General features: G+C 33.0%; 1 protein-coding gene and 1 non-coding gene across 10 annotated transcripts in view; one reads left to right on the top strand and one right to left on the bottom strand.

Annotated features, from left to right (window-relative positions):
• The window catches only part of CSMD3 (CUB and Sushi multiple domains 3), a 1,214,012-nt gene that overhangs the window by 404,701 nt on the left and 784,562 nt on the right, over positions 1 to 24,749 (bottom strand). For all 9 annotated transcript variants that reach the window (NM_001363185.1, XM_017013010.2, NM_052900.3 and 6 more), the window contains 4 exons: positions 22,533 to 22,721; positions 17,481 to 17,597; positions 11,068 to 11,283; positions 9,189 to 9,377 (listed from right to left, as the gene is read on the bottom strand). In NM_001363185.1, coding sequence (NP_001350114.1) covers positions 9,189 to 9,377; positions 11,068 to 11,283; positions 17,481 to 17,597; positions 22,533 to 22,721 — 711 coding nt within the window. The remainder of the gene's footprint in view (positions 1 to 9,188; positions 9,378 to 11,067; positions 11,284 to 17,480; positions 17,598 to 22,532; positions 22,722 to 24,749) is intronic.
• MIR2053 (microRNA 2053) lies at positions 15,865 to 15,955 on the top strand. Its single transcript, NR_031745.1, has one exon. It is a non-coding gene; the product is annotated as a microRNA 2053 (primary transcript).

Genomic DNA, 24,749 nt, shown 5'->3' on the forward strand with positions numbered 1-24,749 from the left:
AATGAGGTATTTTTAGGAGTCTTCTATTTTAAGTCCTCATAAAACTCAAAAATTTTTATCCAAAGAGATTTGAGATTTTAATAACATGAGAATCAATGAAACCCTCCCTATGGGTGAATCACCATATAGATAGGTCAGGGTCTACTCTGTTAAGTTGGTTCCTGATGATCACATGGTGAATTAACTTTATACTGTCTTCTGTTCAGAATGAGCACCTGTTACTTGCCAAAGTTTGTGGCAGACACACAGAAAGTATAAAGAAAACTAAGATCCAGCCTCCACCTTCAAAGGACTTACAGGTATCAAGTAAAATCATCCTTATTCATGTGCCAGCTACAGTATAATAAAATAAATTCAGATATTTATCTCCTAATGAGCTGACTGGCTGCGTTCTAAAAGGATGTCTGTAAATTTGTTTGTCTACAAATCCCAAGTGAATAAGAATTGAAGTTCACAGTCCACAATCTAATTTCATTAAATAGGACATGTGTATTGGTCCCTCGCAATCTTGTGGATACTATTTCTATCACACACCTTTTTTACCTTACTTTTTTAACTCATTGAAAAAGTTTTTGAGTCAGCTATTTTCCCTGTTAAGCTCTGAATTTTACTGCATATTAGGGAAAGAATTATTCCATATACAGGTACAGAATTCATCATTTTCTCACCATATTCAATTTTTATAAATTTATCTTTTTGTTTCTATCAATCATAATCATAAGCTTCTTCTTAGTAGTCTTTTCAGGCATCTTAATTACTTGGTTGGTTGGTTGGTTGGTTGGTTGGTTGGTTGGTTTACTTATTAGACTTGAGAGATTGTGTGTAAATAACCCACAGCAAATGCATTATAGACTAAACAACAGTGTGACAGCTGAGGTTGAAATGGCAATTATAGTCCTTTATTGGAGTTAGACAGAATTGACTCTATTTTCCTCTGGAGCACAGCTTTGTTCATGTAAATGAAAGTTAGTAAGTTGAAAATGTGGAAGTAAAGGAGTTTTGTCGATATTATATATTCATTTCTTTATCAACTCAACAAATTTACTTAAAGCTTTCTATATGCTAAACACTGTTGTAGATAAAAAGGCAATTCAATATAGCATGATGAAATCTAGAAAGGGGAGATATGGAAAAGCTCATGCAACTCATAGGAAAGACATCTAACGTACTCTTGGGAGGTCAAGGGGAGCTTACCAGAATGATTAAATGAGGTGACTTTAAAGGATGAAGGGATTAGGCCAAATTATGGAGTGGAGATTGGGGTTAAGAGAATAATATTCAGAATTTATCTTAAGGGCAGTGGAAAACAATGAAAGATTTTAAGTAAGAGAGTAACATAATCAAATTTGCATCACAGGAGGTTCTTTCTGACTCCATAGTTTGGTTTAAGGAAAAAGGCACAAGAATGAAGATTAGAGTGCTGTTTAAACTATTACAGTAATAAGGTAGATAATGATAGATAATACTGTCTTGAACGATGACAGGGTAATGGGAATGGAGCTCAACAGATTAAAAAGCAAAGGCTGCTTCAGCAACTAAACAATGATTTCTGTGTTTTCTCACTGCGATTTTATTATTATTTATTTTTTTAGAGACAGCATCTTGCTCTGTTGCCCAGGCTGGAGTGTGGTGGCACCATCACAGCTCACTGCCCCCTTGAACTCCTGGGCTCAGGCAATCCTCTTGCCTCAGCCTCCCCAGTGGCTGAGACAACCGTCATACACCACAATGCCTAGATAATTTTTTATAGAGAAGGGGTCTCATTATTTTGCTCAGGCTGTTCTTACTGTACTTTTAAACCCATATTCTTACAGATTAAAAAAATCATTTGTTTGCTTATGTAAACACAAGTGAGAATTTGGTCATTTGCATGCACTAGACCTCAATATAGCCTTAAAATCATAAAGTATAGAAAATGGTTGGCATGTTTTCAAGTGGCATGTAACATCTTGTGGCTATATTCCAGGATGCATATAGCCATGTAAAGAAATGTCAGTAGAAGACGCTAAAGCCAACTCATGAAAGGACTTAAGAAATTGTGACTTTATCCAGTGGGCAATGTCAAACTTAGTGTTTTACGCAGGGAATAGACAGATGATCTGGTCTTTCAAAGGATAACTGGTATGGTGGACAGACTTTAAGTTGAACCCCATGATACCTGTTTTTTTAGCAATTATGCCTTAAGCCAATCTCCTTCCCTTGAGTATAGGCAGGATCTATGGCTTTCTCCTCATCACTCCCTGTATTATGTTACCTTCTATAAAACTTCATCTTCCTCGCAGATTCACCAGAGAGACACCCCTTGCTGGCTTGATGAAGTAAGCAGCTGTATTGTAGACCACATGGTAAGGAACTGTGGATGGAATTGAGCAAAGAATTGAAGCTTTCAGTTCCACAACACAAGAAACTGATTGCTTCCAATATAACCATGTGACCTTGGAAGAGGACCCTGAACCTCAGGTGAGAACTCAGCCCTGGTTAACACATTAATTGTAGTCTGTGGACCCTGAGAAGAGGGTCTAAACCATGCCCAGACTCTCAACCCACAGAAACCATGAGAAAGTAACTGTATTGTATAAAGTCTCTAAATTTGTGGTAATCTATTACTCATCAATAAAAATCTAATATAATTAGTTATAATATTGAAGATAAATTAGATGAGAGAAAGCTGGAAACAGGAAGTCCAGCTAGGAAAAAAGAGGTAACACAATGAGATTATATATATAACTGCTAAAATATGAACATGACAGTCAGAAAGAGTAGGTTTTAAGCTTTTTATCAAGTTCTGTAGTTAATCACCTAGTCACATTATAAAATGGAATGATAATATCTTCTTAAATGGTTTGTATAAAGGGTATGTGAAGTGAAATATTTACACAGGGTTCAACACAATGCCTGCCGTGTATTATTATTCTTATGCTACTATGTTAATCTTTTTGAGGACCAATGAGAGCTGGGCTAGGACAAAGGAAGTGAGAATGAAAATAGTGGTAAATTTGAGCAATATTTTTAGGTGGTAAGTCATAAGGACTGCTCTGATATGGATAAAAAGAGAGGGAGGAAGGAGTGAAAGATAATACAATTTCTAGCTTGGATGATTGAATAAGAATGATTCCATAACTGAAATAAAGAGTGCAGAAAGAAAGGCTGATTTGGCTGAGGAGATAATGAGTTCTGTCTTAGCAGTGTAAAGTCAATGTGCTTGTGGGAGGACATCCATATGGAGAGGTCCAGTGTACTCAGAAGAGATTTGAGTATACGGATAGATTTTGAGATGGTTGAGAATTATGTTACCAACAAACTACATCAGTATTCACACACACACACACACACACACACACACACACACACACACACTCCTAATAGTCTCTTTTGAAAAACATGAGAAATATTTCCTCTTAATAATAAATACATTATGAGTTTAATAAATGGAGCCCAGGATGAAAAATTAGAGAATAGGTAAAGGATCCTTTCTTCTTTCCCTAAAGGATCAATGACTAAGAAATGCCCAAATACAAAAGGGATATTTAAGTTGATTAAGCTTGATAAGTCTGTTGCAAGGGCCAGCAAACTATGGCTCCACAGCCATATCCAGATTATTGTTTTTGTAAATAAAGTTTTGTTGGAACACAGCCACATCAATTCATTTATGTATTTTCTATTGTTGCTTTCACAATACAATAGCAGAGTTCAGTAATTGTAACTCAAACCATGTGGCCTCAAAGCCCTAAATATTTACTGTGGAGCACTTTACAGAAAAAGTTTGCCCACCCCTGGTCTATTGTATAAAAAAACGATAGTCTTCTAACTTGAAAATTGTGCATCAATAAATAAGGTAATAAATGAATGTTGCTTGAAATGCCACAACACTCATCTAAGAATTACAAATCTTTGTTTCTCGTACATTTCTTTTATTTATTAATTGTAACATTTCTGAGCATGCATTTTCTAAACTGCTAAAAAGGAATAACACCTCCTCTGCTTACTTCATAAGGTTGTGAGCAATAAACTCTTTAAAAAATGTAGATAGCATTGAACAAATATAAGTTAATATTCTAGAAGCTTTTATATTGTTAAGCCAAGAAATCAATGCATTCAGTCCTAATCATACAAGAGAGAAGTAAATATATATTTCTTTATATTACTCACTAGAGCACTTTTCTTTCATCTTAAAAAAAAATTGGGTTAAATAGAACTCATACTGGCATCATCCTTTCCAGAAAAGAAAAATATAGAAAATTAAGGCATTTGCCTAAATTAACCAGCTAATTAATGGTAAACTCTACGATCAATCTAAGTCTCTTGATTTTTAATTTTCTTTCTACCAGGCCATATATCTGCAATGCTGACTAACTGGATAGATCAGTCATATTTGATATACATATGTGGGCATCTGATAGATATAATTTTAGTATAGAGAGCTTGGAGGTTAAGATAAAGTAAATAGAATTTGTTTCAAGAGAAATTGCCTCTTCAAATGCACTTTATTCTTTCATATTTTGAATTTTTAATACATTTTCATTTTGGAATAGTTTTAGGTTAACAGAGAAGTTACAATGATAGTACAGACAGTTCGCATATATGCTGCACATTCAGTTTGCTCTCTTCATTTTTAAACTAAGAAATAAATAACTATCATCATATATCATCTGAAAGGTCAGAAAAGTGAGAATAATATGTAGATGTGTAATATAGAGTTATCATTTTTATCATTTGACTCATGATTAAGGCAAGATGTTGTTACTTGTCCAAGGTCAAATAAAAAAATCAATGACACACGAAATTAGAAACAGAAGAAGATGTATTAAATGGGGGATTATGAGGATGAATGAATTAATGTCTTTGAAATCACTTCAAAATGTGTGGGCTTCTTAAAATATGTGGACTCCTGCCTAAAGACAAATCATTACTAATATTTAACTTGCTAATCTACTTTCCAAAACAACATGTTCTTTCATTAGCTCGTTGTTTATTTGCAACATGGCCTGGCTTGGTTCCTGGTATATTTGGATGCTGAGTGAAGACATGCAAGTTTTTCCTGATTTAAAAAGATAGCAACGTAAATGACAGTGTTTTTGTAATGTAAACTTTAGAAAAAGAAATCATGTACTTATATCTTAAACAAAAAAGGAAAGTGTTTCTTATTTTAATCAACTTATCAACTTACCGGTAGTTTTTAATTTTTTTATTTATTTATATTTGTTTTATTTTACTTTATTTTTTTGCTGTTGGGTATTTGGTTGCCACTTAAACAAGTGATCAGATATTCATTCCTGAGAAACATGGCTCTCCAGGAAAATCATTCAAATACAAAACATCTTAACTAAAATATCATTTTTTCTGTTTTTAAAGTTTTTCCCAAAATGTGAAGTATAATTACAGATACATAAATATCTATTTCAGATAGTAAAACTTTCATCTTGATTACTAACTAGTAAACGAGATTTTGTGTATTGAGTGCTTATCTACTAATAGTGTAATAAAACTTTTCCTGTTATACTCTTAATTTCTGTCAAGATTATTCTCCTGCTTCTACAAATTTTTCTGCATTTAAGCAACATCAGATAAATGGATTATGGTTGAAGAAGTTTTCCTCTAGTTAAATAGAGGACAAGCATACGAAGTTCTCTGAAGCCATGTATCAACTATAATGCAGGCCAGATTTCCTCCCAACTTTATCAAAGTCTCCAGTCAGAGACAATGGTGTGCTACTACTGTGGACCATACACAGGACTTAGACTCGGAACATTGTGATAATCATAAATCTGCTCCTGGGTTTGTGTTCAACCTTGAGTATTTTTATAGACATCATATCTTTACTGATAAGATAGTTGTATTAAACTTACTTTCACAATATTTGGGAGTCTTTGGAATGAGATATTACACGACAGAATTTTTCATAGATGTAAATGGCCATATTATGGTATTATTACATTTTAATATTTTGTTAAACTTTAAACTTAAATGCAGAGCTTGTGTAGGAAATTGTTTAAAGAAAAATTTTATTTATTCCTCATTCAACATCCAGAATAAGATAAATTTTGCCAAATTCTACCAAAAGAAATGAAGATACCAATCAACCTGTACACTAAATATTGAATCAAAATCTATATAAATAAAATGTAAAGTAAGTTTCCAAAACTAGCTTTATCAGTTCCCTTACTATCCAGAATCAGATGCCTTATATAACCTATATACACACAAATCGCTTTAGTAAACGTTAATATTAGTTTCATACTTTGTATAAAATTTAAAACCTCATCTGGGGCTTGTTCTGGGAGTGTATCCATCATTTGTACCCTTGTGCCAGGAAAAGAATGTTTAGATTCCAAATAACTGAAACAGCAGCAAACTTTTGAAATACAACCTACTTAAAATTTGGCTATTGTTAACCTAGGCTTTCTATGCAGTTGGCAATGCTGAAGACTAAATAATGATTTTTTAAACAAGTATGAAATAGAGAATTGGTGTTAGGGTATATGAAATAAAAAGTACAAAGAGGTTAAGAAGAAATAAAAGCTGTCCAAATAAACTAACATTCCTAAAAGTGGACATCTGCTCAGATGAATGGCTACAAATAACATGCATTTTATGTGAATAAAGACTAAAATATGGAAAAAAAAACAAAATAAGAAATATACACATACGTGTGTTTAGAATCAGAAATTCAAGAAGGAACAAATTTGTTTTGAAGCATAAGCAAAGCAGTAAAGAAAAAAGTTCAAAAAAATTGGAGGAGTAACATTTTAAAAAACATTTCTTTTTAAAGGAATATTTCTCCCCATCCTGTAACTTAAATGTATGCCTACCGTGGAATTTATTAAGGTCAATTGAATTAATTGTAAATTTTAATAAGCTTAAAAGCAAGCACAGCTAATTTGAAAATGGGTAGGGGGGAATTCCCATGGCAATAACTTTGCTTTCTAAATTTGTCCACAGGGTAATTTTCTTTCATCCTTCCCATTAAAGATTTGGGTACGAATAAACCAGTCTCAAAGAAACACCTTAATAAAACAAAATTAACTCAATGGTAGATTTTTGCAATGTCAGGTTTTCATAGATCCATTTATTAAAATATATCATAAATATAAACTAAATTTTTTAAATGTACATGTAAACACTTTTTTTTTCAACCTATGTAACGGCCTGGCATGTATTCGGTTACTCTGAGAGAAAATGTTAGTTCTCTATGATAGATTCCTTCTAGAATCACGTTTCCCTAGACACTAGTGAGGAAAAAATTGGGCTTTGGAATGAAACAGATCACTACAAAAAAATCATAGTGCTACCTCTTACAAACTTGATGATCTTGGGCAAGTTATTTAGCATCTCTAAGCCTCAGGCTTCTTCTAATGAAAAATGGAAGAGATAATAATATCAGGATTTTAGTAAGGATTAAATGAGATGACTTTACATAAAAGAACCTAGCAGGTCCTTATAATGTTAGCGTTTTATAAAATGGAATTATTTCCCACTGTAATTGATTTTATAAACTAAGTTGACAGGCTGGAGAGACAGCAGATTATACTCAAAACAATTAGTTAAAATAAAATCTAAATTCGGAATGCTTCCTATATTCAAGGGATTGTGCCAGGTGTCTGATTTATATGACTAATTTCTTTTAATCCTCATAACTAACTCATAACAATGAGTTAGGTGCTACAGTTGCAAACATTTTGCTGATGAGAAAAATGAAGTTGAGAAAAGTGAATTGGCCAAATATCAAATGGTCAGGCACTCTGTAGCCCTCACTTGGACTATTCCAAAGGTTTCATTAAGTACCTTCGAAAACAGTCACAAAAATGAAAATTGGCATAATGAAGTAAAGTACAGGAATTTCAAATGTGGCAGTAAGCAGTAGCAGTAGTAACAACAAAATGTCCTTAAAAAAAAAAATGCACCCTGCATAGCTCCTGGAAAAGATGCCCTGAGAGTATGATTACTTATCACCTCCCAACTTCAAGCCTCTATGGTTGCTTGTGCCATTTCTATAAAAATCTGTGATTTTTAAAGAGAAATTTCATCTGCTAGGTATCTTGAAAACAATCTCATTACAATAAAAGACTTCAGACCCACACTAACTTGGATGATCATATTTTTTGGCTTGATTTGTGGTTCCACAGGAATTCCCACATTCTATATATTGGACAATATATTGAATAAGGCAAAAAGGATATAACTTCTTCAATCTCATTTCAACCTGCAGGGCATTTTGTATCCATAGTAAAGAGCAGGGGCTTAAACCACATTTCAAATCTCTACCAATTTTCCTGATTTTGTAGCATATTATAAGTTACATAGATTTGTGACCCACAATTAGATTTATAATTAATCAAATTAAGTGCTTGTGATAATTTTCAATAGCTTTATAAAATAATTATAAAATGGCCATTTGAATCTTATTCTATCATAAGATGTACTGATAATCACTAAACAGCAAGAAGTTTTTGGCCTTAATATTTTCTAATTTAAAGAGGGAATGATTTAAGTCTTAATGAAAAGCCTTTTTTCTACCGAACATTTTTTTCTTTTTATCAGTCAAAATATTTACTTCCAAAGATTGAGATGGTGACTTCACGCTTCCAACACTTTAATTATAGTTATTTTTTATTTCACAACATGAATGAATAGCTCTCTTAATTTATCTATCAAATATTGAGCCAATAAGTTCATTAAGAGCCCTTAAATTAGTTACCTATTCTTCATTTGGCACTTTCTCTTGTAATCATCTTTTATGCATGTTAATTTTAAGTTATAAAATATTGTCAAAACCTTGGTCAGAATATACTATCAATAGAATACAAGAATTCTATTTTCTGTGAGCTCTCAAAATATGATTCTATTTCTATCTGTCTATCTGTCTATCTATATCATCTATCTTTCTCCATATATCTATGTGTCTATCATATTTCTATCTATCTATCTATCTATCTATCTATCTATCTATCTATCTATCTAATTTGTTTCTTATCCCTATCTGAAAACAAATTTATAAGCATGGTTTCTTGAATGGAGCAGTAGAGAAGTTAATTCAGTTACACCAGATTGCCAAATAGAAAAAAAGTTGAAATAATTAATGTGAAATAAATGCAGAAATTCAACAGATTATAAAGAACGAAGGGTGTAACCATGCAACTCCATGGACAGTGACTACACATACAAGCAAATGAAAGCAGCTGACCACGTACCCACACACCTTGGCAGAGGTGCACTCCACACTCGTCGGCCACCACCAAGACAGATGATCTCTGATGTTCCTTCCAGTCGATAACCCGAAGAGCATGAGAAGGTCAGAGTGTCACCAATCCCAAAGTTGAACCCGATTCGACTACCATATTGAGGAATGCCAGGATCTTCACAAGGTTCAAGGTTATATTCTGTAAATTAGAGAGAAAAATTTCCCCGCGGGGGAGGAAAGGACAAAGAAAATGATAGTGGTTACTTTTAAAGGTATATTCCTATTGTTTTTAGAACCTAGTCATATATTTAGAAGGGACTATATGAATAGCTATCAGAACGTACAAATGGCACACATACGTTTCTTTTTCTGTGAAATAGCTAATAACTTGATAAATATTTGTATTTGTGGTATTCAATATAGATGAGAAAATATCACCTTCTGAATAATAAATTAAAAAATAGCTATTTATCTTATTGTTTTTTCTGCATTAGAAACATTTTTATTTCATATATTTTCGACTTACGGCATAAGAACTGCATATTTTCAAACACAAAATAACATTTGAAATGAAATCATTTGCACTTTTGAAATGCTTTTGCTTAATATTTTACATTTAAATGATAAAGGCCCTTCTGCTTCTTGTATACAAGTTCAATTAATGCATATTCTGAAAAACACATGATTTGAGATGCAAGGGTTTATGTGAGACTGAAGTGACCACACATTGAAAACTATTGTATTATGGATTTTTACAGGAAGTTTTCCCCAGGCAATAAATGAACATTATGAAAATGAACAAGTAAACAGTCTTCAGGGTATGAAAAGTAGAGTTGATTAAACATTATAATTTATATACAGTCCTAAGAAGAAGTAGCTTATCTAAAAATATTCCCAGAGCAGTTACTGTGTAATTACAACAAAGAACAAGAGGCATTGCTTCATGTTGATTAGCTAATATTTTATGCTTTAAAAAAATTACTTGGACTTTTTTTAACATTCTAGGTTATGTTCATTTACTATTCATGATAAAATACTTTAATGATTTTAGCATCCAAACATTTCCACCCAAATACTAAAATAGTTGTTTAAGAACAAGGTTAGTGCTTGTATCATTTTAATGTTAGCAAGTTGGCATAAGATTTACTTATTAATTTGTGTCTGTATTAAGAAATAGCTAGTTGTGTTCATTCAAATGGAAAGTACAACTCTAAGTGGTGGGAATACATTTTATTTTCTTTGGTCTCATACAATTTTTTCCCCCTGTAATCTAAGTAATACTATTGTCTATAAGTGAGGTTATACTAGAAGAAAGGAGTAACTATGTTAATTTGATTATAGATTATAGATTATCTAATTCCAGAATAATAAATTACTATTTATTAATTATATATATAATTAAAATATATAATTTATTATTAATTAATTAAGATCATTAATTCTGGCCTGTTGACTATGCCTTCTATGTGTTTTCCTAGACACATAAAACAAGGAAATCACTGGATTAATTCTCATTTCATTTTTGAGTTTAACTGAAACTTTAAAATATATATTTTAATTTTTATTTTGTGTTTACTAGGCATTTTAGCTAGTTTTGACCTTTGTTAGAATTTTTCAGGATTGTAAATTAAAGAAATGTAATTATTGTACTTCCGGTAGATTTATAGCAAATTAATTTTTGCTTTTTCCCTTATTTATTACTAGAGATAATCTTCAGTGTATTCCAAGCTTTCCTTAAAACTTGACACATACTACTTTGCTTTCTTCTTTTTAAAATTTTTCTTCTCTCCAGCTATTTTTCACTGTTTTATCATCAGTTATGCTCATATCTTGAAAAATTGCTTTTTTAAAAGTTACTGAATGAGCCCTTTTGTTTTTTATTTTCTCACCAGAGAATGTTATGTTAAATCCTTCATATGATATTGAAAAATCTGAAATGAAACGCAATTGAGCCCTGAAATTTCCATAGAGACCAGCATTGATTGTTGGAGGAAGATCTGAACCAGTCAGGCGTGCCAGTGGTTGGGTAAAACTGCCATTCTCTGTGATCAGTAAGTAGTCATGATGGTCTTCCAAATGAAAAGTGTGGAAGTTGAACTGCACACCTATTAAGAAAAATAGAAACACTGAATTTACAGGTAGATCAGTAAAACACAGAGAGTTACTGTCAAACTAACTATTAGCCAGGACTTTACTTATAATTAAATTTTCTGAAAATGAGAGGCATTGCTATAAAATATTCCAAATATATGTTATATTATTCTTTTTGTGTGTGTTTTTCCTTCAGGTTCATTATAAGAGATATAATGAGTCATGTCTTGGAAACTGCTTGAAAATACAATTTAAAAATCAGTGCCTGAAAAAAAATTACCTGGTTTTCTGAAAATTTCAAGAGAAATACATATCTTTTGTTTATAATAGAGGTGCAATTTCCTGGCAAATACTGCACATGCCTCCATTTTCTTCTCCAATCCCTTCGACCAACATAAAAGCAATGCTTAATATTATAGCACTTAACTTCCAAATATGCTTGTTTATTTTAGAAGAGAAATATAAAACAGGCATAGGGAATGCTATCTGTTAGATGAATGTAATTATTCTCCATTTATTTATTTGTCACACATTTCAACCTGTGCATATAATATGCAAAAAATGTATATATAAGTGTTCAGGTCAATAGTTTTCACAAATCGGACACCTTTGTAAATAGTATCCAAATCAATAGCCACAATAATACCAACACCCAGCGCCTTCTTTATAAAACTTTTCTGTCATTTCAGTTTTCCAGAAGTAACCACTCACTTAACTTCTAATAGCACAAACTAATGTTGCTGCTTTGTATATATATTTTGTAGTTTATAGATTGGAATCATATATACTCTTTTGGATCTGACTTCTTTTACTCAGCATTAGGTATGTGAAATTTCTCAATATCATTGTGCATAGTTGGGGGTGGTTCATTTTTGGTGATGTATAGTATGGCATTCCACCTTGTGAATATACCACATCTATTTACCTGTTCAACTGTTGATGGTCACTTAAGTCGTTTGCGTTTTACCACAAATGTAAATGGTACAGCCATGAACATTTATCTTTTGTGAACATATGTGCTTTTTTCTGTTGGGTATGTATCTAGGAATGGAATTACTGAATGATGGGAGTAATAATATGTGTTCTGCTTTAACAAATACTGTTTTACAAAGTGGCCATGCTGATTTACATCTCCATAGACAACATGGTTGCTCCGTATCTTCTCCAATACTTGAAAATCTGGGGCTTTTTAATTTGTTCCATTCCAGTGAGTATATAGTGGACTCCTTGTGGTATCACGTTAGTATTTAATTACACTGTCAAGAACACATGTAAAAGACTAATGACTTCACACAAACACACACACTCAAATACACACAACACACTGTGTGTAAGGAGCCATCTGAAATAAAAAATGGCTACCACAGGGATCCTTCCCTTGAGGTGCTTTATTTTTTTGTACCTCACCTAAAAAATTACCAAAGTATTTGCTAAGAAAATTCCAAAATATCAGAGTATGACAAGTAACATTTTTTATTCATTTACATTTTAGTTCCAAATGTTGGAAATTCTTAAGAGTCTCCATTGTTTTAAAAAAAAGGGGACAGAAAATGAGACCAAAACAAATGATTGAAAACACAAACATTAACACAACAAGGTTATCACTGCATAATGAATCAGAGATTTCATATTTGAGAAATATTTGAAATATATAAGGTACTATTTTCAAATTATTTTTCAAAATGCAAGTTTTGGTGTTTTTTTTTTCTCCTCTCTATAATTGGCAGCAATACAAGAGCCCTTTTAGAGGGGGTCTAAAAATTAAGTCAGTTTTTCAAATCTTCTATAGTATAAAATCAGTATTGATACTAGACAGATGAAAGGAAAATGGGATTTTGACATAGTAAAGAGAAGATGCTTTGCTGTCCAGATTAGCTCCTGCAAAATAATGTAAGGGTAGAAAGTTCAGATAAGTCAGTCTTATTTCTGCTATAAAGCTAAGAAAAAAATAGTTAGACAATAGGAGAGTAGATTGAATAAAAGAGAAATAAATCATCATGTATACTATATTATTTTTATTTTTTAAGAAAAATGTGCTTGTTCTGAAATACATAGAATGAATTATTTTAGAATTTCATTAATTAATTATCGGTGCCAACAAAGCCACTGTTAAGTATTATTTACCTTTCTGAGCCCTACTTTCTCCATATTTAAAATGGGGTTCTAATAGAGTTGTTTTGCAATTTAAATAAGGTAACAGGTAAATGACTTCGCACAGTGACTGGCACAGAAAGCGTTATTGCTATTGATCAATTTCCCAAAATGAGAGCTAATGTTTTTCCTGTTATTTAGCCCTGGCCAGCCGCTTTGTAAAAAGAAGCTGCTGTTCATCAAGTCATGGATTAAATGGTAATATTTGCTTTCTTTCACTACTGCAAAACAACTTAAGACCTTCAAAGTTGTGCCAAAGGTCAATTAATCCAAATAAGAAAATGATCCTGAGAAACTACTATATTCTAGTCATTATAGAATATAAATATTTAGAAGACTGTAAGTAACTCATGGCCTATTTGAGGAAAAAGGTACATGAACCAAAATTTTAATCATTCTGCCAAACTGGTTAATACAACTCAATATAGGAGCATAGAAATAGAGGTAACTAATTTGTCAAAGGGGTCCGTAGAGGGGTATAAAAATGACCTTCAAATGTAATGACAATCCAGGTCTGGTGGCTCACACCTGTAATCCCAGCACTTTGGGAGGCCTAGACGGGTGGATTGCTTGAATCCAGAAGTTTGAGATCAGCTTGGGAAACATGGTGGAATCCCAACTCTACAAAAAAATACAAAACTTAGCTGAGTGTGGTGGCATACACCTGTAGTCCCACCTACTCAGGAGGCTGAGGTGGGAGGGTCACCTGAGCCCAGGAAGACTGAGGATGCAGTGAGCCAGGATCAGCCTGGGTGACAGGGTGAGAACCCATCTCAGGAAAAACATAAAAAACAAACAAACAAACAAAAAACCCCAAAGCAATGACCTCCTAAATCAAAAAGGCAATGACTTTCAAAAGTGAGAAGTTTGTGATGGTGAGGACCTAGTATAGACATTTTGGAAAGAAGGGGATTAGACAGGAAAAGACAACCAATTCTAATAAGGCAGGGAGAAAAAGTCAGTGGTTTCAATATCGTAATTACTTCTAGTAAGAATGCTAATTCAAGATGCCCAATAAAGGTAATTTATGTTTATATATATATATATCTGTATGACTTGTACTTAAAGTCAAAATAGCGTTAATATCTAGGTTTTAGTTATAGTCATGCCACCAGCTATTACCTAAAGGGTGCCATTTGACTTTTTTTTTCTAATATGTAAAGTAATAGGTGTGGACTATGCTTTATTTAAGGACAGTCCAACTTCTAAAAGTCTAAGGGTTTTTCCTGATGTACATTTTTTTCTCTAGGTTTCCCGTAACTATTTATAATTAGCATCCTGACTTCTACAACGTGTTTAAGGAAAATCTCTCATGGTGTCCTTGTAAATAAGGAGCAATGTAGGCTGAATGACACTGTCGTTAACTGAGTTTGAAACTACTGAACAATTGTATGTGTTCAAACACCTTGACTTAATGTTTAATGGTGAAGAGATTACAGATGGTACATATACATTTTATTATTTCTTAAATATTTAGATATTTAGATTTATCCTTGTTAAGATTCTTATAAACCCTTAAAATACTAATGATCATAGTTATATAAGAACATCTGACTACACAATGTAAATGTAAATGAAATGTAAATCACTTCAAAATGATCTCATAGGAACTCTGAATCAAAATCAATATGATAAAGCATAACAGGGATACATATAAAAGCTTGCACTGAAGATAGAAAAAAGCAATTGCATAATTATAGAATTTTAAGAATTGAATTTATCTGTATTTTAAGTCCCAGTAATCTAAAAAGATGATTTAGATTACTACAAACTTCTTATCAATTAGTATTATAACATGGCAGCAAAAAAGTTAATTAACACAAATACTGTCTTCTTCAATGAAAATAATTTTAGTGTTACACTGTGCCATGATGTGTTCAGTTTTAGAAAACCACATTTTAAAGAGATAAGCTGGAATGCATCCAGAGGAAGTTGATTAGAGTGGTGATGAACATGAAAATATTATCTTATGATGAATTAAAGAAACTAGGAGTGTTTAGTCTGGGAAGAAAAGACTTGGAATCATGATCTAGGGATAGAGGACATGAAAAACATGGTAGTCTCAGAATGGTGAGTTGATGTGTTTGAGGAGCTTTTGGTTGGAGCAAGGATTAGGCTGCCTTTTTTGGTATAGCTCCAGAGAGCAGAACAGGGATAACGGCTGCAGAATAATTTTTAAACAATCAAATATGGAAAAAATGAGGAATTTGTCCCAAGGAGTACAGTCCTTATCAACAGAAATACCCATAACAGGCCAGTTCATCATGTTTCTGAAACACCATACGGAGAAGCTAGTTTTCTGAGTAAGAGGTTAGACTATATTACCTTGAATATTTCTCCCAACTTTGAAATTTTCCTTCATGTAAATTTGCTACACTTTGGAAGAGTTGTACTTCAGACAAACTTAGTTGGCTCTTAAAAGAAAGGCATCTACGTCCGCATCTCTTGCCATGTAAATACAGATTTAATTAACATTTGCAACCTGTGAAGATGCAAAACTTTAAGTGTTAATTAAACCTCTATTTACATAGCAAGCAGTATGTAGCCCTCCACTCCCTTCTATAATATCAGGGAGCTTATTTTAAACTCTATTAATCTATTGCACACTGGGATAATGGGACACTTTGGTTAACTTCCAGCAAAGAGTCTTCTATTAATAAAGATTGACAAAAATCACAGTTTACAAAGTCTTCTACCTCATTCCTGCTATTCAGTACCAGAATACTCATTTTAACAACGCTTTTTCTCAGTAATATTTAATTCATTGTAGAAATTTAACCAAACTAGTCCTGACATAATTCTCACCTCCTGATAAAATATATATGTAATTTAATCAAAGGCAAACTTTATTTCTGAAAACGCAAATTTAAATGTATTAAACACAAGCTTTTAGTTTTAATGGTAATAACATCTTCTCATTGCTAAAAGTATTTTGTTTTGACTTTTTCTTTTTTTAGATTTTCTATATTAAAATCAATAAATATATTTTAATAGTAAAATTCAATAATATAATACATCAACAGAGCTAAAAAAAAGTACTTTTCAAAATCAGATTTTAAAATGAATAAACTAGCTCTTTTAGAAGATCAACCCATGGAGATTTTCAAGTAAATAACTTTAATATATTTTTTGTTTTCATATATTAGAATGGTCATTTTACCATTCATAAGTTGTTACCTTGATAAATTACACTGTATCTTGATAAATTTGAAATACATACTTATACACTTCTAATTATAAGCAATATTTGCAAAAATGGATGGTAAATTAAACATGAGTAATTGTTTAGCAGTCCCTCTTATTAAGCAGTAAGAAAACGAATTATTAATCATGCAAAATTGTTTGTTATAGATTCCTATAGGGATACATGTCATTCTTTACAGATTCCTTTCAAAACAGTGAAGTAGGTTGTAAAAGTTTTATGAGTGGTTGAATCTCATGAATGAACCATGTTTAATACTACAGAGCCTTTTACTTATTTGTTTATTTGTAAAAGGACATTTATTAACATCTACCTTATGCAGAGTGCAATTTTACACTCTATGTGAGACATATCTATAGCTCTGTACTAAAGAATCTGAGACACAGATATTTATAGAATGGCTATAAATTTATATAGAGAATATAATTGTTACAAACAATTATAAACAAGTATATATAAACACATACTAGTTGCTTTAAAAATTGGCTTAGCATATCAGAGCATCTCATATTCCCCTTTGAACTCCTGAAATCCATTTCTTAACACTATGCCAGAAACTAAAGCCCTCTTGTTTGAGGTTTTCCTGTTACAAAAATTTCAAATGACATTAGTTTATTATATCAAAAGTAAACAAATCTCTCATAGCAACAGCCTGGTAAAAACATGAGCACAATATAATACTATAGAAGAGTAAATATAATTTTTGTGGCAATTATTTAAATTGAAATGTGTTTTAGCATATTGTAGTACTGATCTGTTTTTGCTCATGCAAAATAACATGTAAAGGAAAGTGAAATAAGAATAGACTCAATGAAAATTCAGAAGATAGTCCAATTATTATTTCATGAGGCAAATTACCTTTTCCATGGGTTACATCAACAGTCCATGTACAATTCAGAGAATTTGGATAAAATTCCGGGTAACCAGGTGATAAGATTGTTCCACTAGGCCCTCTAACATCTCCTCCACATAATGCTGAAATACAAAGAAACAGATCCATGTGATCAGCAGTGAGAGAGACAGAGGGTGAACAAATCTCTATCTCCTCTCTTGAATTGAGCAGTCGCATTATCTTTGCTTATGCTACCTCCTAGTAATAACAGGTGTGCATGCAGCACTAGAGAAGAAAAGTGTACTCAGTAGCATCTGAGAATTAGTGCAGTCCCCAAGAGAACATGGCTCAACTTTCCAAGTTTGAATTTGAAGTATGTGCTAATACATTTCTAATTATAAGCAGTATTTGCATAAATTGGTGGTAAATTAAACATGAGTAATTAATTGTTTAACAGTTGCTCTTATTAAGCACTAAGAAAATGAATTAACTGTATAAAACTGTTTGATATAGATTCCTAAAGGGATATGTGTCATTCTTTATAGGATTCCTTTCAAAACTATGAAGTGAGTTGTAAAAGTTTTTAAGGCTGCTTCTGGGTTTCTTTATTTTTCTAGGAAATATTATGAACAAAAACGAGTTTTGTAAGTAATTATTCTAAGATAGTAAAAATAAGCTAACTATCTGAGGTCAAAAAATTAATATTTGATTTGATATTCATTTCTTTGAGAACAAATCATAGTTTACAAGGTCTTCTATATATTCAACAGCTATCAGTGCTTATGGTATGCCAGGCAATTCTATCAAAATTGAAAGCTGGAGGAAGCAAAAAAATATTGCTTAGTAAGCATTTTTATTCTAGTGTGAGCAGAGAATTTGTTGACTCCTTATTCACTTTCACTTGGAAAGGCCAACTCTTAGACACAGCCAAGGGCAGTAAGAATCATGAATGCCACATGTACCCTTGTCTAATTTGATCCTTGCCCACTTTCTTAGCACACTAGAAAAGTGAGTTTTGGTTTTGTCTCTTCCAAAAATACCTAACACTATAACATGATATGAATTTGTATGATGAATGAAATGTCTACTGAGTTAAAACCTACAGTCTCTACTTCAAAGGACTATATGTCATGCAGCTAGAATAAAATTTCTCACTGAACACAAGCATGAAAATTAAGGGAGTTAAATTAATTTAAAATACACAAAAAGGTAACAAAAAAGAGAGATGCAAACTTTCAGAAAGGACACCAGACATGTGCTCCTGAGCATGCACATTTATGTGTGTTTGTATATCTGTGTGTTTGTGTGTGTGTATATCTGCGTGTTTGTGTGTGTGTATTTACAAGAAGTTGAGAGAAAGTTTTTCTGTATATCAGTATTCTTTCAAATAAAGACACTTTGTCAAGTATCCTACTTCTTGAGAAGTTTCTTGGGAATTTTTTTGTCTGTAAGCTGTACCTATATACATATGTAGAAGGGGAAACTTAAAGGGACATTCTGCAGGTAAATGCATAAATCTATGTAACACATAAACACATTTAAACATTTAGGAGGAATGGTCAACAACTAATATAACAAACATTCGTACTATTACTTTGACTAGAATCAGATGGGAAAGTATAGAATATATTTTTATAACAAAGTGAAGATTTCTGTTATTTGAAAATAATTATCATTGGATGAAGACACTGAAGAGAATGGACTTAAAGATGGAATTTCATAGTAAATAGTGAAGAAAGAATGTAATTTAAGCTTTTTTTATAAGATGAAACTAAAAACATGAAGACATAAATTTTATTTTATATCTAATAAAACAGGATAAAATTACAATGATTTACTAATTCTTATCAGAAACAAGAGCAAACTGTTTTGAACTTAAAACGTAGCTGGCACTATTCTGCAGATTTTATTTATGTTAACTCAGCCCCCACAACAACCTTTTGAGAAAAATGCTGTAATTATTCGGTTTACAGATGAGAAAGCAAGCAAGTATAGAAATAACTCAAACAGTCTAGTTCCAGGGTCTATGATCTCAGGCAGATTCTTGAATTGTGTGGATGTTTTTTCCACATTAAGAGTACTATTTTAGCAAGCTATGATGTTCTTTACTCATGTTTGATTTTGTAGCACTTCCCTCACAAATGATGAATATATAAAAAAAATTCAAGGGCATCCTTTATTTTCTCAGAGATTCATTTAATCCTGTCATTTTCAAATCACTTTTTTTTTTTTTTTTGAGATGGAATCTCGCCTTGTCCCCCAGGGCTGGAGTGCAGTGGCGCTATCTCGGCTCCCTGAAAGCTCCGCCCCCCGGGTTCACGCCATTCTCCTGCCTCAGCCCCTCCACCGCAGTAGCTGGGACTATTGGCGCTCGCCACCACGCCCGGCTAATTTTTTTGTATTTTTGGTAGAGACAGGTTTCACTGTGTTAGCCAGGATGGTCTCGATCTCCTGATCTCATGATCCTCCCGCCTCTGCCTCCCAAAGTGCTGGGATTACAGGCGTAAGCCACCGCACCAGGCCTTCAAATCACTTTTTTAATGCACCTAACACCTATTGTGTCAGTATCCTTGTCTATGTTCTTTAATTGATCTATCTCTTCCGAATTCTCATTTGCCAGTAGCTTTGTATGTGACTGAAATAATTCTCCATCATCATCATCAGCCTCATCATTTTCATCAACCTAATGACATTTTTCATTTTTCTAAATGAGATTATTTTACATTGCCAATGTTTTAAGTTGCATTTGTTTTATATTGTCAGCTGCAAGTGGTGATCATAATAGCACTTATCTATAGAGTTACTTGGAAGAGAAAATGACTTAAAATACATAAGGCACCTGTAGCAGTATCAGCATATGGTAAAAACTCAATAAATATTAGTCATCACTATTATTACCACCATACTACATTGTCTGGTTTGCTTTGTAAATCAGCTAATCATGGGATATAAAGACATCACAAAAGCTGATGTATGTTAGAGTGAAGCACACTGTACACAAGCATTAGGCAACCTAGGTCAATCAAGTTTACATTCTTGGAGCAGGGCAAGAAATTCTGTTTGTCTGTTTCTCCCTTGTTACCTCAGGAGATCTGGACTAGTTACCGCTGGGGCAAAAGTTTCTGTTAAAGGAAAGGTCTGATCAAATCTGTTCACTAGGTGATACAATAGTTGAGTTCAGTTCGAGTCAACAGAAAAAAATTATTATTAAGTACCTGCTTTATACACAGCTTAGACATTTTTTAAATAAACATAATTCAGTCCTTGTCCAGTTGCACTCAACATGAAATAGAAATACAAAAGAGGAGGCCAGGTTATAATAGAGGTTAAAAGTAACATGATTTGATCTTTTAAAATAAAGATGCATTGTAAGAATGCAGGACAGAAACATCACTGAAAAGGATGGATTTCTCAAGGTTAAGGACATTGAATTCCATGATTAGTCATTTGAGCTTTCATTTCTAAGCAATAAAAAGCCATTAAGAATTTTGGATATGGAATATAACGTGAAATAACCTTAGTGAGAAACATGGGGTTGGATGGAAAAATGATGAGGGCCTGTGCTGCTCCTGGGAAAACTGGATATATTTGCTTTTATTATTAATAAAAGTTAAGCGTGTTGATGCGCTTGCCATTACTTTTTATCTTCCTGGTTCTTATAATATTGCCTCCATACCTTTCTTTCGTGGTGAATGCTCCTCATTCAGGCCAACCTTGTAGCTTTATTAGGGTCTGGCAAACATAGGACTTTTAAACCACCATGGTCTGTCTCAACCACAGGGATAGATGAGCACATGACCAAGACAAAGTCAATCATAATGGGCCCTTCTCCTTCACTAGAGTTACTAGTTTAGATATGGATGAATTGAATACCTTCCCTGGGATTTTTCTAATTAGAGTGACAGGGAAGAGCTCTCCTTCCTCTCTGAAACTGAAGATACAGGGCTATCAACTTCCATCTGCCTGAGAGTGTATACACTACTGTCAATTCCTCATACGGAAAAAGCCTGTCTGCAGCGTAAGAGAATTATGTGAATACACAAAGAAAAGTCTAAGTGTAAGATGGAGAAGTTCTTAAAAAGTTTTGAATTTATGCTTCTTATTAGCAATGAGAGTTATCCCACCTTGCCTTTTCTACTAGTTGAACAGTTGAACAACAGCTTCTGCTTTTATTTTTAAATACCAGTTAGAGTTGGGTTTCTGTCACTTACAATCACAAATTAAAGGAAGATGTTTTGATGAGTTGTTTAAATCTTCATATAAAAACAAATTAGCTTAAAACTGTTTAAAAAATGATGGCACTGACAGTACTTGAAAATTTAATCATAAAATGACAAATGGTATCTTCCACTTCAAGAAATAGTAAGTGTAGAATTTGAAAATAGTACTGTAAATAGAAATTAAAACCCATAGTTAAATAATATATGGATTTACATTGAGTGTGCTTTTTGACAAGCAAGCATGCAAGCACTTCCCAATCTTAGGAGAAGCAGTTTCCTCCACTGGATTTCATATGTGTTTCCTGAAAAATGAAGCACTTCTGACTTATTCTCATAGAAACAAAGAAGCAGTAAGGAACACTAGTATGCTATTTATTATAACTAGGAACTTGACACAACAGGGTAGTCGGAGTAAACTACCATAGTGCTGTGTAGCTGGTTAGAATTTTTGTAGACAGGCTGGCCTTCTATTTGAACTGGGACATGTTGCCATTCAAGGCAGGAAACAAATGCTGCATTTTTTTCAGGACTTTCTTCTCATACAAATTTGGCATTTTCAAGGCTGTTTTGAAAAGGTCCACAGCATGTTCTTAAAATAGTTACACAGGTGAGTTTTAAATATATATGCATATATAAACAGGGTAGATACACAGATAGTATCTTTAGGCATGGAGTAAGTTTGGCTGATTAGCAATAGTCTTTATTTCATGAATGGTTTGATAACATAAATTTGCCAGAAATCAAAAGAACTTTTAAAAAACCTAAAATATTTATAATTATGTTAAACCCCATATAAAAAACTACATTGATTTTTCTGTTTATAAATCAGCATATTTTGCATGTCAAATGAGTTATTACCATCACAGGTTGGAAGTGGATGACTCCACCAGTGGTTTTTTTCGCATAGAAGGGGCTCTTCATGACTCAACCTGTATCCTGAATCACAACTAAATGAAACAGTAGAGCCAATGGAGAAATCATGACCATAGCGACGGCCATGTACAGGTATGCCAGGGTCCAAACAAGAATACGTGTTCACTGTAACACCTGGAAAACAAAGGGAAGAAAATAAAGAGTAAGCTTGGTGGGATTTGGAGTTGCTGAAAATAATTCCTAGTTCTTCAAACAATTACAAGCAATGATTTTTACAAATAAAGGTACTCGTACTTCATTTTTAAAATCAGCAATTTATTTAATAAATTTGTTTTCTCATTTCCTACCAGTAAGGATCAAATTCAGGTCATTTAATTACATAAGAACTTGATGAAAATGTATAACTATCTGTAAAACTTTGTATTGTTATAAATTTTGTGTATATATACACATATATCACAATAATCATAGCAATAGTCAACATTTCTTGAACTTATTATATTCCAAGCACCATTCTAAATATTATACAAAATTTTCTCATTTAATTACTAAAGGAAAAAGAAGAGTAGAGGCATTTTGCAAGGTATGAAAGTATGAACACCAGAACCGTTCTAAGTATAACCAATTAGCACATTTCTTCTGGTGGTTAACTGTTGTTGTTATCAATAGTCTCTAGTACACTTCAGTGTCTCCTGATATCTTCCTTGCAATTTACAATCCCTAGCTGAGATCATACCATGACAATGTTTTTCCTTTAATAAGATATGGCTTCTCAACCTCGGCACTGTTGACATTTTGGACTGGATACTTCTGTGTTGTGGGTGTCCTGTGCATTGGAGTACTTTTAGAAACATTCCTGGCCCCCACCTGTTCGATGCCAGTAGCATTTCTCCAATCATGACAATAACAAATATCTCCAAATACTGCTACACATTTCTTGGGGTGCAACAATGCCCTCAGTTGAGAACCACTGGTACAAACTATAACAAGTAATTATTTTTTTCTTCCTATATAGGATATTTAAACAATGAATAACTACTATTTCTATATTCCAAAATTAGTCGTTAACATTTTTAAGACTGTATAATTATATTAAATCATATTTATATGAGAAAATATTTATTTGTATTAGCTACCCAATTCAAAAATGAAGCTAAACAAAATGGTACAAAATAGAAGTTTAATTTTAAAGACGGAAATTGTACATTTTAAGTGTATTTATCAAGCATATTCGTTTCATCTAAATGGTGTTATTTTAATGAGAAACTAAAATACAATAGAGACAATTTTATCTTCAACACATCTACTTTTATCTGCTAAGTTCCTCTTCTAAGTGTGACCATTATTTTTCTAAGCACCCAGTGCATTTTTTTTTTTTTTTTGACGGAGTCTCGCTTTGTCGCCCAGGCTGGAGTACAATGGCGTGATCTCGGCTCACTGTGACCTTCACCTGCCGGGTTCAAGCAATTCTCCTGCCTCAGCCTCCCGAGTAGCTGGGACTACAGGCACATGCCACCATTCCCGGCTAATTTTTTGTATTGTTAGTAGAGACGGGTTTTACCATGCTGGCCAGGCTGGTCTTGAACTCCTGACCTTGTGATCTTCCTGCATCAGTCTTCCAAAGTGCTGGGATTACAGGCGTGAGTCACTGCACCTGGCCAGCACCCAGTGCTTTTAAACTCTCATTCATCTTTGATTCCTCACTCTTTTCCTCCACAAAATATGTCTGAAATCCATTCTCATTGAAAAGCATCATGTCATGTATTATTTCTCTTACCCTATCCAAGGCCCTCATCACCTCAAGTTTATGAAACAAACAATAACATTTAGCATGTTTTTCAGTATCTTTCATCTCCAATTTATTCTATATAAAATGTTGGACATACGTATAGCCAAAACATGTTTTTTCATTGCTTTAATACCCTATGGCTAATGGCACCATGTTCAAAGTCGTCACCCTGAAAATTAAGATTCCCAAATTAGACTTTACTATTCTAAATTGTCATTATCTCCCAATGGTCATTTTTTATATCAATCAGATAAGTCTCCTCATTAGTTTTAGGCTTTGTCTCATAGGAATACCTTCAGTTGTCCTCTTAATGTACACAATCTTCTCAACCTTTAACAGAAAAGTTTAGACCCCCTTCCTTCAGGTTTCAATTTCCCCCAATGTTCCAGGTGATATATAACTTTCCTTTACAT

This window comes from Homo sapiens, chromosome 8, assembly GCF_000001405.40.
Source record: "Homo sapiens chromosome 8, GRCh38.p14 Primary Assembly".
Classification (NCBI taxonomy): Eukaryota; Metazoa; Chordata; class Mammalia; order Primates; family Hominidae; genus Homo; species Homo sapiens.